General features: G+C 39.0%; 1 protein-coding gene and 1 long non-coding RNA gene across 5 annotated transcripts in view; one reads left to right on the forward strand and one right to left on the reverse strand.

Moving 5' to 3' along the window:
- Positions 1-15,363, reverse strand: part of CHST9 (carbohydrate sulfotransferase 9) — a 278,828-nt gene that overhangs the window by 141,378 nt on the left and 122,087 nt on the right. For all 4 annotated transcript variants that reach the window (NM_001256316.2, NM_031422.6, NM_001398493.1 and 1 more), the window contains one exon: positions 607-645. In NM_001256316.2, coding sequence (NP_001243245.1) covers positions 607-645 — 39 coding nt within the window. The remainder of the gene's footprint in view (positions 1-606; positions 646-15,363) is intronic.
- Positions 12,954-14,284, forward strand: LOC105372036 (uncharacterized). The gene is made up of 2 exons (XR_001753383.3): positions 12,954-13,072; positions 13,164-14,284. It is a non-coding gene; the product is annotated as an uncharacterized LOC105372036 (long non-coding RNA).

Consider the following 15,363-nt stretch of genomic DNA (forward strand, 5'->3'; position numbering starts at 1 on the left):
CTTACCTCACAACTTTAAGCTAAAAGGCAAGTCATGGAAATATGAAAATGTAAAAACTTAATTTTGTATTAGTTAGCAAATACTGACCCCTACTATGTGCAATGGCATTCTGCCAAAGCATGATTCACTTCTGAATCCATATGAATTTAGAAGTGAAGGCATTCTTAAAATTCCTCCAAAATATAAAGATGCTTCTCAGTTAACACTGTCCTGAAAAGCATCCACTACATATACGGTTTTAAGAAATAAAATTGAGATTCATAGTCATTTGGGAAAGTAAACTGGTTGTCAACTATCACATCACAATGTCTGTATTTTAATACTGTTGGTTGCAAGACTTACCTTTAAATAGATAATCATGAAAAAATTAAGCAACATTCCCATCTCATTTTCTTTTGAATGTAATGATTGGATGAAAAGGGCATAACTGATGTGAAAGTGAGAAAGCTAAATGTATGAATTTATTTTAATTAAATTAATATCGATCAGTTCAAAAACCATAAACTATTAATTTTAGTGTGAATTTTTGAATAATAAATTTTAAAAAATTTAAAGGTGGAAATAAAATCAGGAAATAAAGCTGGAGCCCATTGGACAAAATCTTACCTGAAGTTACTTTTTGTTCTCTTCTCTTCTCCACTCTCCCTGAAATGAGAAGTGGAAGATAAGTTACAGCATGGAGTCATGAGAATATGATGAAAATAAGATGAAAGCCCAGTTTACAGCAATTTCCAAACACAACCTCTACTTCAGCCATGTCCAGTGTGCTCCTAGAGATGACTGGGCTCAGCTGACAGGCATAAGAACTGCTTACAAACCAATTTATGAAAGTAAAAAATAAATAACTATGCATTAAATGTGCTGTTGGATTTTTAAAATCTTGTTAGCCAGAGTCGTTTACTCAACAATAAACTTACAAAGGGCAAATCCCCATAGAAACCATTATGGGGAAAACAGCTAAATAAGACTATGCCCTCTTACAACCCACTTGAAAAAATAGAAAGGACAGACAATATAATATGAAGTGAGATGTGCCTCAAATAGTGTAGAATGTTTAAAGATATGAGATGATGAAACAGTTATTTTAAGAAAGGAGGGGGTGCTCATGAAGTTATGGAGAAAGTGGTATTTGATTTTGACCTTGAGATACAAATGGGATTTGAGAAATTTGAAATAGAGAAATGACTGACTCTTGGCAAAGGAAACAGTATGGGCTAAATGGACAGGGTATTTGCGCAAGAAGAACTTGCACACTTACAGCAGTGCATAGGAGGAGGACTATCCTAGAGGTTAGACACAAGGCAATGAAAGGGTGGACTGAGTCATGGCAGTGGGAGTGGAGAGGAGGGAAGTAGTGGATGCAAGAGACCGGGGGGAGGCCGAAATAATAGGGCCCAGTGATTTATAAAATGTGAGTTGCCAGGAAGGAGAAGAAGTCAAGATGAGTGGTTAGCTAGGTGACTTTGGGTATAGAGATGCAAGTTGGGGAAATGGTATTATAGAATGTGATGAGGCTGGGAATAACAAGTTCAGTGTTAGACCTACTGACTTTGAAGTACTATGGGGACAAGGAGCTTGTAAGAGGTCAGAAAATTTAACTATCCTAATATATACGCATCTGACATTGGAGCATCCAGGCTTATAAAACAAATACTACTAGATCTAAGAAAAGAGATATAGCCATACAATAATGGTGGGGGACTTCAACAGGCACTGACAGCATCAGACAAATCATCGAGGCAGAAAACTAACCAAGCAACTGTGGACTTAAATGAACTTTTGACCAAATGGACCTAACAGACATCTACTGAATAGTCCATCCAGCAACCACAGAATGCACATTCTTCTCATCTGTGCACAGAACATTCTCTAAGACTGACCACGTGCTCAGTCATAAAGCAAGTCTCAATAAATTCAAAAAAATCTGAGTTGAAATTACAGATGCAAGAAATGTTCATCATAAGATGGCTGAAGCTGAAGGAGTGAATGGGGCATAAAGGCAGACAGCACAGAGGAGTGGGTGGAGGACAATAACTAAGATAACATGACTGCTGCTTTTGTTTTGTGATGTAGGCCCACGGGAAGTCAGAAGCAGCTGAGATCTGGGGACCTCAACAAAGTGCAGGCTCCGGTACCACAAATCAAGTTTTAGAAGTATGGGGGTTTTCAACAGCATGTTGCTACTGCTTGCTGAGTTCACATGATTGTTGCTAGATTGTGAGAGAGTAGTTTTAGCAGAGAGTGGGCAGAGAACACAAGAGAGACTGCGAGGGTTTGGGAAGTAAGTGTGTGATGAGAAAGTGGAGCTGAGGACATGGCTTCTTGTTTATCAACTTTGGCAGCCTCCAAATGAGTTGAATAAGTGAAATGGGGTAATAGCTTGACTAGAAGCCAACTAAAGGTTTTTGCTAAGTTATGGAAATCCTAAGCATGCTTATAGACTTAGGTAAGAAACTGTGTACCTGGGCAATGGTGTGTATGAACACCACGGTGGAGGTGAGGACCGTGGTTTGGGATAAGTGAAGACCATCCTTCCAGCTGTCACTTTTTTTTGTCATCTATCAACATTCCACAGCTGGAGCTAGTTACTGAGAAGTTAGGCCACACGTTGAAGCTACATGTAAACTTTATCCAAGCTTTTCTAACAGCCCTTCGAGTCTTTTAAAATCCTAACATATAAGGTGGAAAATGTACAATCTTCCCTTATGTCGCTGCCAAAAGTGTAGAATTCATTTAACTGGCACCTTGATTAATGGCATGTTATATTCATTTGGGTGATTTCCAGAGGACTTGTTTGATGCAATTTATTTCAATGATTCCAACAGATAAATAGCATGAATAATCCATTTAAAGGCCTCATTCATTATGAAGTGTGACAGGGTACCTTCTCATTTAAGTTTTCCACTGGGCAAGCCACTGCTTACTGTTGGATTATTCACTTATGAATACTAGAGGCCTCGGACATTTTCATAAATTTTAAAAAATGGTATTCAAGGCTTGAATTGTAAAATATGTAAACAAAAACAACTTTTTGGAGTGTCTTTAACCTATATTAGAATAAGTCACTAATTCTGAAAGTTGGAAGTGTATGTATTTGAGATAAATAATATGGTGTAGTGATCAAGGTATCCCAAATGATTCCCATCTTCTCTTCTTTTGATATTCACGTCCTGTGTAATCCCACTGAATTAGATTGACTGTGTAATCAAGGATTTTGTGGGAATAATATAGTGTGATTTTGAGGTTGATCCTTAAGAAAATTGTGGCTTCCAGTTTGGGTGTGGTGGCTCATGCTTGTAATCCCTATGCTTTGGGAGGCTGAGGCAGGAGGATCACTTGAGGCCAGCAGTTTCAGACCAGCCTGTGCAACAAAATGAGACCACCATCTCTAAATTGTTTTTTTAAAGATTAGCCAGGCATGGTGGCACACATCTGTCACCTCCCTAATTAGTTGGGAGGCTGAGGCAGGAGGATCACTTAAACCAAGGAGTTTGAGGTTACCATGAACTATGACTGCACCACAGCACTCTAGCCTGAACAACAAAGCAGGACCCCATCTCAAAAAACAAAGACAAAAAACTATGGCTTCAATATTCCTTTCTTTTGGATCACTCCCTCTGGGGGATGCCGGATAATATGTTGTGAGGACACTCAAGCAGGCCTATGGAGAGGTCCATGTGGCATGGAACTGAGGCCTCCTGTCAACTGCCAATGAGGAACAAAGGCCTGCCAGCAGCCCCCACCAACTTGCTAGGCACATGAGCAATCCATTTACCAGCCCCAGTCAAGCCTTCAGCTGACAGCAGCTCTGGGCAACATGTTGACTGTAATTTTGAGAAAGCCAAAACCAGAACCATCCAGTTGGCTATTCCAGAGTCCCCTACAGAAACCATGTGAGCTGATAAGTTTATTGTTGTTTTTAGCTGCTAAATCCTGAGATAAGTGTTAAATATATGTTTCAAAAGTCTGTAATAATTTATCATTTAATATACTATACCTACAGTAATGCTAATTGCAGGCATATCAATCAGTCTCCCTGATTTTCTTATTTTTAAAGTGGGGATCAGGGTCTGCTTCTCTGGAATGCTATGAGGATGAAACAATTCCATATGGTAAAGCTAGCAAGAAATGGACAAAATTCACATGAAATATTGGCATCTCATGTTTCAGAAGGGAGGCTGAAAGGTGCAACTTTTTTTTATGAATACCTCAAATAATTTTTTTTATGAAGACCTCGAACAATTCTCAGCCCCTATGTTATATGAAAGGGCTTTGTAAATTGTAGAGTGCTATATAAATTCCACCTATTAGTTTTATCATGAATTAGTCCTGTTACAGGAATCTACTTAGATTTCTTAGTTATATATATGTATGTGTGTATATATAGGTGTGTGTGTATATATATATGTGTATATATATGTATATATATGTGTGTATATATGTATATATGTGTGTATATATATGTATATATGTGTGTATATATATTTATACATGCACACACATACACACAAAACATCAAATTAGAAAAATAAAAATTACATGGTAGGACAGTACTATATTGATCCATGGACACAGAGATTGAACTGTTTAGATGGAGACGACCCTCTAGGCTTCCTTCTTTAGTATCTTTATCTCAGTCTGAATAGGTGATCTTATCTCTCATTCTCTCAATGTTCACTTTCCCCCAAAGAGACAACTGTGACACTACATCTCTAGCTCCAAAATCTACTTAGGTTTTAAAGCCTCTTGGAAATCTCTACTTGTGTCCTCCACTGCACTTCAACACATGTTTTTAACTTAAATAATTATAGTCCCAGTTTCTCTAATGACCAGTGATGATGAGCTTAATGTGGCACATATACACCATGGAATACTATGCAGCCATAAAAAAGAATGAGTTCATGTCCTTTGCAGGGACATGGATGAAGCTAGAAACCATCGTCCTCAGCGAACTAACACAGGAACAGAAAACCATACACCTCATATTCTTACTCACCAGTGGGAGTTGAACAATGAGAACACAAGGACACAGGGAGGGGAACATCACACACTGGACCCTGTTGGGGGTGAGGGGAAAGGGAAGGGAGAGCATTATGACAAATACCTAGTGCATGCAGGGCTTAAAACCTAGATGACAGGTTGATAGGTGCAGCAAACCATCATGGCACAGGTATTCCTATGTAACAAACCTGCATGTTCAGCACATGTATCCCAGAACTTAAAGTAAAGAAGAAGAAGAAAAGAAGAAGAAGAAGAGGAGGAGGAAGAAGAGGAAGAAGAAGAAGAAGAAGAAGAAGAAGAAGAAGAAGAAGAAGAAGAAGAAGAAGAAGAAGAAGAAAGAACAAGAAGAGGAGGAAGAGGAAGAAGAAGAAGAAGAAGAAGAAGAAGAAGAAGAAGAAGAAGGAGAAGGAGAAGGAGAAGGAGAAGGAGAAGGAGAAGGAGAAGGAGAAGGAGAAGGAGAAGGAGAAGATTTCATTAAAAAAAAAAAAGCAATAATTATAGTCCCCTACAAAACTGCTCATCCTTGGTGTCTGCTCAGGCACCCAAATATAAAACCTAGGAACCACCGTCTTCTTTCTTTTGCTCCTTCTTCCCATCTAATCTGTCCCTCAGTCCAATACATTCCCCTCCATCAGGACTTTGAGACATATCTTCTCCTTTCTCACTGCCATCACCCTAGTTCATGAACTTTATATCTGTTCCTGGGGTTATCTATTTTCTATGGGCTCCTAACTTGTTTGTTGGTTTTTTCTGTCATTGTAATCCAATCACTCCTAAACAGCAAACTCTACATTTCTTAATATAAAATTTATGACCTTGGACAATTTGGCCATAACTTTCCTTCTGCTGTCACTCCTCAAGCATCACAGAGAGGAGTTAGCCATTACACCAGGAATTACACCTTCACCCCAGTTCCCCATTCATGCTGTTTCTGCTTCCTAGAATGTCCTGTCACACGGCTCCTGCCTATCAAAACCCTATTCAGCTTTTAGAGCTCAGCTCAGCTGCCAGTCCTCTGTGAAGTCTTTTCTTTTGTGCCAGCTCCCCAAACTCTCCATGCCCTGCAGAGTGAAGCACCCTTCTTCTGTGCTTCTGTAACCTTTCATTTACTCCTTTGCCATAGCACTAATTCTTATTTTGGTTCACAATTAGTTGTGTGTTTGTTTTCCTGACTGGATGGTGGCTTCCTTCAGGACAAGTCGAGAGTCCCATATCGTTCTCTCTCCTGATGTCTAGCACCGTGCCTTAAACACAAATGCTCCAACTCACTCTGAAATGCTGGAGAACATGAAGTCAATTTTAGTACTGCTAAAATGCAGTGAAAGTACAACCAAGAATAGAGCTTTTAGCAGGTATGTATATTACAACTGACAACCAAGAAAACTATTATATTAGAAAAGTGGGTGATAAAATAATAGAAAGGCTTTCAGAATAATGAACACACATTCTGTCCTAGTTGTGCTTTATTTTATCACAGATTCTAGTTTAAAAACAAAACATTAAAATATGGTTTGCATCTTATTTCTGCTTAAACCTGGATGCAGCACTCCACTTGCGATGAATAAAAATGGACCATAACCTCATAAAAATTGAATTTGTAAGATAAAACTTTTTCCTTATATGAGAAAATTTATTTAATTGAACACTAAAGTTCCGCATCTCATGACTATTTATCTATGTAAACTGAGTCTCAATATTTTTAAAAGCTATTTTAGACTTGAGGTTGTGGATATTGTTTCATGGAGAAATATTACATATATGTCAATTTACAGTACATTTCAGTACTTCAGTATGGAAGTAGTCTCTTAATCACAGTGATTGTTTCTGATCTTTTAAAACCACAGGCACATAAATGGCAATTTGATGCTGTCTCACCAATAATGAGTATGGGCATCTGTATCATAACTCAGTATCTCATGTCACTTCTCAGGAGAAGGAAATTGTATATGTGTGTGTGTGTGCGTGCACATGCACACACATGTATGTTTATACACATTTATATGTACACTATATATATGTAGGTATATATATATGTACACACACACATATATACTATATTTTCATGCTCAACTATAGTCTCCTCTCTAAAATATGTTCTCTCTTCTACTTGCTTCCATCTTTTTATAATAAAGTCTGTTGTGGTATCTTATGAAACTTGCCTCACCGCACTACCAATTTCTCAGTAGCCAATTCTGAGTTTGCGTTCACTTTCAGGCATTTTATCTGCCTTGCTCTGAGAGGTATTATTAATCACATCCTGTTGCTAGGATACCTGAGAATGTTCATTTATGTCTGATGTTTCTTTGGCAAAATGCACTATGAAGAAGGCATAGAATCATGACAATGAAAATTACTGTGCACATGCTACTTATTAAAAAAGGGAGGAAGAGCATAACCACCAGATAATATAATGCTAACTGCCATGAATTTTTTAATATCGTTTTTGTTTCACCTAGATTTTAAAGGAAAAAAAACTCGCAATATTTTTGGATAATGAGAATCTGTAGTGCTTCTATACTTCCGAGTTAACTAGAAAAAGTGGAAGGTGGTAGGGTTTTGGTTCTGTTCATTTCATAGGGATTTAAGAGAGGAAGGAGCTTGAAATGCTTCAAATGCTTCCTTTACAGACAGGGTAACTAGGTTATAGTGCTAGTTGATTTGCAGGGCCAGACCTAAAACCCAGGTCACCACTATTGCCATGTTTAGCTATTTTAATGCAAGATTTTTTAGAAAAGTGGGATGTGGAATTGGACAATAATAGTAAAAAAATGCCTTTATCAATATATTAAAATAATTTCAAAATTAGTGCTGTCTTGGGTGCTAGTACACCAAAAATTCCTGCTTATTGGTTGTCATGAGAGAATATGGATACATAAAATCCACCTCAATGCAAGATTTTCTTAGTCAATTTCTTCCTACAGGAAATAGCATGATATAACAAAAGGAACACGGATTTGGAGTTCGATGGACTAACTTCTCATCCTACCCAGGGATGCTTGTGAGCCATGTAATCTGGGAATGAGGTCTTGAGTACCTTCTCATTACATGTGCTTTTTCTTCTCACCTCTTCTCTCTTTCGTGTGTGTGTGTGTGTGTGTGTGTGTATACACAAGATACGTTTGGCATATCCATAAGCCATATATAATCAGTCTCTAGGTTTTAAAAGTTGCAGGAATAAATTATTTAAAAAAATTTTCTGCAGACTAGCTTTTTATTAGTCAATTATTGTTTATCAAATTATTTGTTTGAATGAAACAATTTTTTTAACTTATAATTATCTAACCACAATGTTTCAGGAGTAAGATACTTGAAAGATCTTGCAATTTTCTTTTTATCAGGTAAGTATTTATTTAGTACCTACTATGAGTTGGGCATTCTATTGACACTTAAATATTTCATTTAATTTTCCCAGTAAATGACTTTCATTTTCTGATGGTGAAGGCAGGCTCAGAATCTTTTTTCACATGCACAAGGTTCCAGTTAGTGAATGTCAGAACTGGAATATGAATCCAGAGATTTTTACCTTTTCTGTGCTTTTTAGCTGTGGTGATTAAGGACAATTTTGTAGAGTGGTGAAAACTTTGAGTTGTAGCTCTACCACTTGATCACTGTGGGCTGTGGGCACCTCATTTTAATCTAAGGTGAATTGTTTTTTTCTGGAAATGGGAGTAATACAAGTACCTACTTCACAGGGTCACTGTGAAGATTAAATAAAATGATGTGTTTAATAATAATCTCTACATGTTTTGAGTGCATAACACAACAATATTTATAATGCTCTCACCTTGGTGCCTGGGACATAGCAAATAGTACATTGCTAGGTGCTCCTCTTTATAAGTATTCTGTATCAGGTTGTCCTTAATAGCATATAATAATTCTTTATATCCTTAAGGTCGATGACTTCCATTATGAATATTATAAAGTTGAGACTTTGGGAGTTTTCTGATATGTTTACATCACCTCCCTCTCTTCCCTTCTTTTTGTTTCCAAGGAAAAAGGGGCTTCCCATTTTAGTGGATTCCCTTTCTCTCATCCTCATGTCCTAACTCTTTTCAAATACAAATTAGTTTGATGAAAACCAAATTTACATGTCAAAATTCTCCCCAGTTATGAGCTAAGATCATATGATTTTAGGATGCAGGCTTTATGGCTTAAATTCCTATTCACATTTTGGAGTGGCCACCAACTGTGGACTGCCAATAGTCTAATGTGGTCTGAAGAGAAAGGGAGAGCTGCTCTAGAAATCAGAGACCTCCCTGCCAGAACTTGTTCTCTTCCACAATTGGTAGTAGAATCTTGAACAAGTAACTTGGCTCTTGCAAGATTCAATGGTCTATTCATTTAGATAGGTAAATGCTATCTTTCAATAATTCCAAAAGAAATTATGCAAACAGGGATGTGAAAGGATTTTATGTACTACATTGTAAGAGGAGGAACAGAGAAGTTTAACTGGGCCAATTTGAAAACCAACTGGTCTGTAGAAGTCTACATAAAACTGTAGAAACTGCATAGCTTCTGTGTGGTCAATGGTATAAAAGAATGAGGAGTTTATTTTATAATTTATGGCTGGATTCATGCTGCTGATTAAACACCAGCCTCCGCAGACATTGAGGATAGCCTCTATATGGCTGTGAATCCTCTCTGCCCTCCTGCAGGTTTAGATAAACTCCACTTGCTCCTGTCTGTTTCTATTTGCTTAGTTGATATGTTGCTAGGACGCTTAGGCAAAGAGAGCCATTATGAGCACAGCGAGTACTGTGAGCTCCAGACAGTGTGTACTGAGATACAAAAACTGGCCCTTCAGAAACATATCGATACAGATAGATCTGGGCTTCTGAGGTCGGCCATCTGCCTTGGCAGGGCTGACTCTCCATCTGCACTCCCCAGCCCTGGGGTCTGCCATCCGGCATAGCGTGGAGAAAGCTTGAGAAGGACTGAATGCTCAAAGATTTGCAGGCGGCTGACCTCTCTGTAAAGAAATAGTAAAATCAGTATGAGAAACAACAGTTTTAGGTTGTCTTGGAAATTCCCAAGTACAAAATTTCTTCCCACTGAGATCTACCCGACAAGCACGTAATTAATGTGACAAACAACAGCCCCTTTCAGATTCCCAACATTGGTCTGGCTGAATTAAATCTTAGAGTAAACCTTTTGATATTCAGGATCTCATTCTGAGGCAGTCATTTCTTGGCAGAGAAGATTTTTGGAAGACCTTTAGAGGTTGAAGTCAGACTGGCAATAGTAAATACCTAATTATTGCCAGGTTTTAAATAGCTTTGCAAAATAGGAATGCTAGTCTTAATTGCGTAAGCTGCAGCTACTGACTAAAGGAGGGATGTGAGCATTTGTACTTTCCTCTGAGCATTGAACGTGTTTCTAGTAAGTTAGGTGTGAGTAGTCACTTTTAAATAATATAATATTCTAAGTGTCTTTGGTGTGTTTATTATATTGAGAAAAACTGGAATGAATTATTTTGTAAAATGACAAATCTTTTCATAATGTTTATTCACTCCTGTGCTAGAAAAAAATGATAACACATTAAGAGTTAGAGTTTAATTCCCTTCCCCTCGAATCTCTGCAGGCCTAGTAACTTGCTTACCCAGTCGGATACAGCAGAAATGATGTTTTTCCAATCCCTAAGCTTAGGCCTTGAGCATCAGGCAGCTTCTACTTTCCATCTTTAAAAACGTGCTCCAGACACCATGTAAGAAATCAGACAACCCTAAGACCACCATGCTGTAAGGAAGCTCTAGCTAACCACACATGGAGGCCACATGGAAAGAGAGCTGCCTGAACAGTATGTGACCAGCTCCCAGGTGTTCCAGCCATCCCAACCCAGGGACCAGATACGTGGGTCAAGAAACCATTTTAGAAGGAGATTTTCCAGCTCTAGTCACCTCAGCAAACGCCATGTGGATTTGAGACAAACTGCCCTGCCAGACTTTTCCCAAATCCCTAAGCCACAAAACTGCAAGCAAAATATCATTTTTATATCATTAGGTTTTGTCATACTTGGTTACACAGGAATAGTCAAAACAACGCTTTTCTTTTTTTCATAATGAGAATATTTATTGACATACATATCAATATATATTGATATTTTTTTTCCTTTGAAGCAGGGCTCACCTAGATTCCTTCTTTCCTAAGAGGGTTTGTTCAATATACCTATAAATATGTTCTATTATTCAGCATTTTAGCATCTAAAATTATTCCTTTTCATGAAAAAAGAATAAAGCCTGTTATTAGGAGTGCAGTTAAAGCACAATTTCTATAGATTACTACATATTTTGTTTTATTAGAGTTTTACAATTTTACCCTGTAAAGTGGAGTAAAAGTAAAGTGGAGACTTGCCAGTGGTCCAGCACATCAGAACTTGTAAACCATCAATTGGGGTACCCATTTGAAACAATGACATTAAAATATGTATCTAGGCTTCGAAAACTTTACCATATATTGTTAGAATTATGTAGAAATCCTCTGAACTGAAACACTCAAAAGATTCAACACAATTTATGGTAAATAATTTAAAATAGTCTTATTTTCCCTGGGTAGATTTACTTCTAAAGGATCAATTAGTGGAATCTATATTGAATTAAGAGTTTTAATATTATTTAGAGTTAATTTTCTGTATGAAGGCAACAACGGGAAGCATTTCATTAGGAAAGGTAATGATATGAGTCCAAACAGAATCTATGCTTGTGAAGTCTGAGTTTGTTCACTTTAAATAGCAATTTATGTGGCTAATGAACACACAATCCTGCCTAGATTTTCATCTGGGGGAAACAAGGACATTTCATTGCTCTTTTTCCCCACACTCTTAATCATCATCTCATTAGCTTGTGGAGAAAACTGGTGGAGGCCAGAGGTGAGCTTTATTTTCTTCTTTGAGATGTCAGTACAGGTTTTAATCCCGCTAGCCCCAAGTTTTTCCTTTTTTATCTTGAAAATATCCTCTTCACACTCATCTTTTCCTTCACATTGACCCACGTCAAAGGTTTGGGCCTCAGACATTCAGGGAAGCCGATATTTCATGGATAGAAGGAAGAAAACATGAAAAGTATGTTTAGATCAGTGGATATTGATTAATTGCTTTCAGGCCTTTACAGGCTACTTTGTAAGCTTGTAAAGACTATCCCCCATAAACTTGGTTGAATGGAGTTTACTAGGAAAATTGTTAATTGTCTAGTTCATTTTAGGTGTAGAAGAGGCTCCCCACCACTTGGGCACTTAGGAGAAAACAACCAGAGCACATCTTGTTGAGTGTCTATTATGTGAGAGACAGAAAGATAGGTACTTAATGTCTGCAACGCTATTGTAAAAAGTAAACAAGAAATTCACAGTCAAGGTTCAGGGAGGGGCCCTAGAGAAGAGGCTGTGGACTGGTGCAACTGCTAGGGCCTTCAAGTGGGGGCTGGAAGTGGGCCTGTACCTAATAATAGAGACATGGAGGAAGAGACACTCCAGGAGTGAAGAGAAATATTGTCTGAATGCCTAAGGCAACAAGCTATTTTCTGGAAAAATCTTTTATTAGTGTTCAGTGTGAATTGCTGACTTCAGAAAAAGCAAGCCAGGCACTGGCACAGTGCAGCTCACCAGAAGGGCGGGAAGTAGGGTACTCCAGGGAGTGGGTGCGGGTGAGCTCCAGGAAGGAGAGTGGGAATGTTGAAAAGAGGGTCCCAACTAGATGCAGTCACTGAGAGCTAAGATTTGCACAAGACTAAGAATTTGGCATTGTCAGGGAAGGGCAGTAACTTTCTAGCTTTATTTACTGTGAAAAACACAACTGAGTGCCTGTCCACAGTCCATTCTCCTCTTTTTCTACTCTGGTACCCAACCCTCTTCTCACATGACATGCATAAAACATGTAAACTAATCATCGTGGTCCCCATCTCCCTTAGTTTAGGTGGTCATTTGACATTTCTGGCTAATGACATGTACATTTATTTATTTAGAGATGAGGTCTCACTATGTTGAGCAGGCTAAACTCAAATTCCTGGGCTCAAGCAATCTTCCTGCCTCAGCCTCCCAAGTAGCTGGGATTACAGGCATGTGCCATCACATCCAGCTATAGGTGAGATGAATTCTGTTGAAGAACTTCATTAAAAGATTTTTCTTGCCAATAAAAAGACACGCATGGGAGAAACCATCTCCTTTTCTTTCAGTGCATGTTGTCACATCTGGGCATGATGACTGGTTCTTGACCTACACTGGTTCTTGAGGAGAGTAAAGATCACCTGGTGGCCACAAGCAGATCATCTGGAGGCAAAACTCCTTATCTGAGGACAAAATCAACTCACTTCAAGAATGACTGAGGGGAACACACCCCAAGGATGAAGTCACCAAGCCTCTGAATTAATGCACCACGGGACCACCCTGCATCAGGTTTTCTTGTTATGTGTTATTTAACCTTTTTGGGTATAAGTTCAAGTTTTTGGTTACTTGTAGCTGAAAGCATACACAAGCCAACTACAAAAATAATATTCAATGCTAAATACACTAGGAATAAAATCTAAAGGAAAGAGCATTGCCTTTAAGACAGTTCCAAAAATTGTAGGCGTGAGACTCTTCCCCAGCCAGGCACTGTACTTTAGAGGATCTTCTCTTGCTCTCTTTCACACACATCACTTTCACAGAAGGTGAGGAGGGCCCAGGTGTCTGTATATGGCATCCACACCTTTCCTAGACCATGCACTGAGTACCTGGGATGCCAGAATTCTCTGACCTAACTCTGCCCAGATCAGATCTCTGGAGGAGGGGACCAGATTGCATCATTGGTGTGTAGGCTCCAAGGCCCGAGGAGTGTTCAAAGGATTCCTGGGGCTTTGATGTGTGTATCAATGGCCCCAGTGCACGTGCATGAGGCCCCTTGCAATGCTGGAGGGACTGTGATGAAGGCAGAAAGAAAAGGGGACCTACACTTGTTCTCGATGAGAGCAAAGATCACCTGGTGGCCATCAAGCAGGTCATCTAGAGGCAAAACTCCTTATCTGAGGAATTCAGAAGTAATTAGACTTCTAGAATTTCTATACATTTCTGGAATGCAAGCATGTCGAAACCCATTGTACAACCTTTGCCGACATAAAGGCACCAAAACATCCACAAATGTTAATCATTTCTCATGACCAATGTGACTAATATGGTCCAAATCACCCTTCAGCTCCTGCGTTAAGTCCACAAATACCCCTACGGAAGATCCAACTGGGCACACTCAGTCCTCTCTTACTGAAGCTGCACTCTGCTGCAGCGTTCCTCCTATCTAATAAAACATTCCTCTTCAAACTTATACTGTTGTTTGGTCAATTCTTTTTTTTTATTATTATACTTTAAGTTCTAGGGTACATATGCACAATGTGCAGGTTTGTTACATGTGTATACATGTGCCATGTTGGTGTGCTGCACCCATTAACTTGTCATTTACATTAGGTATATCTCCTAATGCTATCCCTCCCACCTCCCCCCACCCCATGACAGGCACTGGTGTGTGATGTTCCCCTTCCTTTGTCCAAGTGTTCTCATTGTTCAATTCCCACCTATGAGTGAGAACACGTGGTGTTTGGTTTTCTCTCCTTGCGATAGTTTGCTGAGAATGATGGTTTCCAGCTTCATCCATGTCCCCACAAAGGACATGAACTCATCCTTTTTTCTGGCTGCATAGTATTCCATGGTGTATATGTGCCACATTTTCTTATCCAGTCTATCATTGTTGGACATTTGGGTTGGTTCCAAGTCTTTCCTATTGTGAATAGTGCTGCAATAAACACACGTATGCATGTGTCTTTATAGCAGCATGATTTATAATCCTTTGGGTATATACCCAGTAATGGGATGGCTGGGTCAAATGGTATTTCTAGTTCTAGATCCTTGAGGAATCGCCACACTGTCTTCCACAATGGTTGAACTAGTTTACAGTCCCACCAACAGTGTAAAAGTGTTCCTATTTCTCCACATCCTCTCCAACACCTGTTGTTTCCTGACTTTTTAATGATCGCCATTCTAACTGGTGTGAGTTGCTATCTCATTGTGGTTTTGATTTGCATTTCTCTGATGGCCAGTAATGATGAGTCAATTCTTTTTACTGCCGGGAGCCAACCACTCTTTGCTGCCAGGGCTCTGACACCTCACCTGGTAGGTCTCTTGCCTCAGGCCCAGCAATTACAGGGGCAGGTGTGTCATGACAAAACACCAAGGGTAGTTCCTGGGAGAAGGCACAGAGATGACTAGCACACATGCATTGTCTCACTGGATTCTCAGCTCAGTCCCAGGGGAAAGAAGGGGGAAATATTTTGTCCATAGCTTGTAAATAAGAAATAGAGACTCAGAGAGGTAAACTTGCCCAAGATTACCCAGTAAACATTAGATTCT

This window comes from Homo sapiens, chromosome 18, assembly GCF_000001405.40.
Source record: "Homo sapiens chromosome 18, GRCh38.p14 Primary Assembly".
In the NCBI taxonomy this organism is placed as follows: Eukaryota; Metazoa; Chordata; class Mammalia; order Primates; family Hominidae; genus Homo; species Homo sapiens.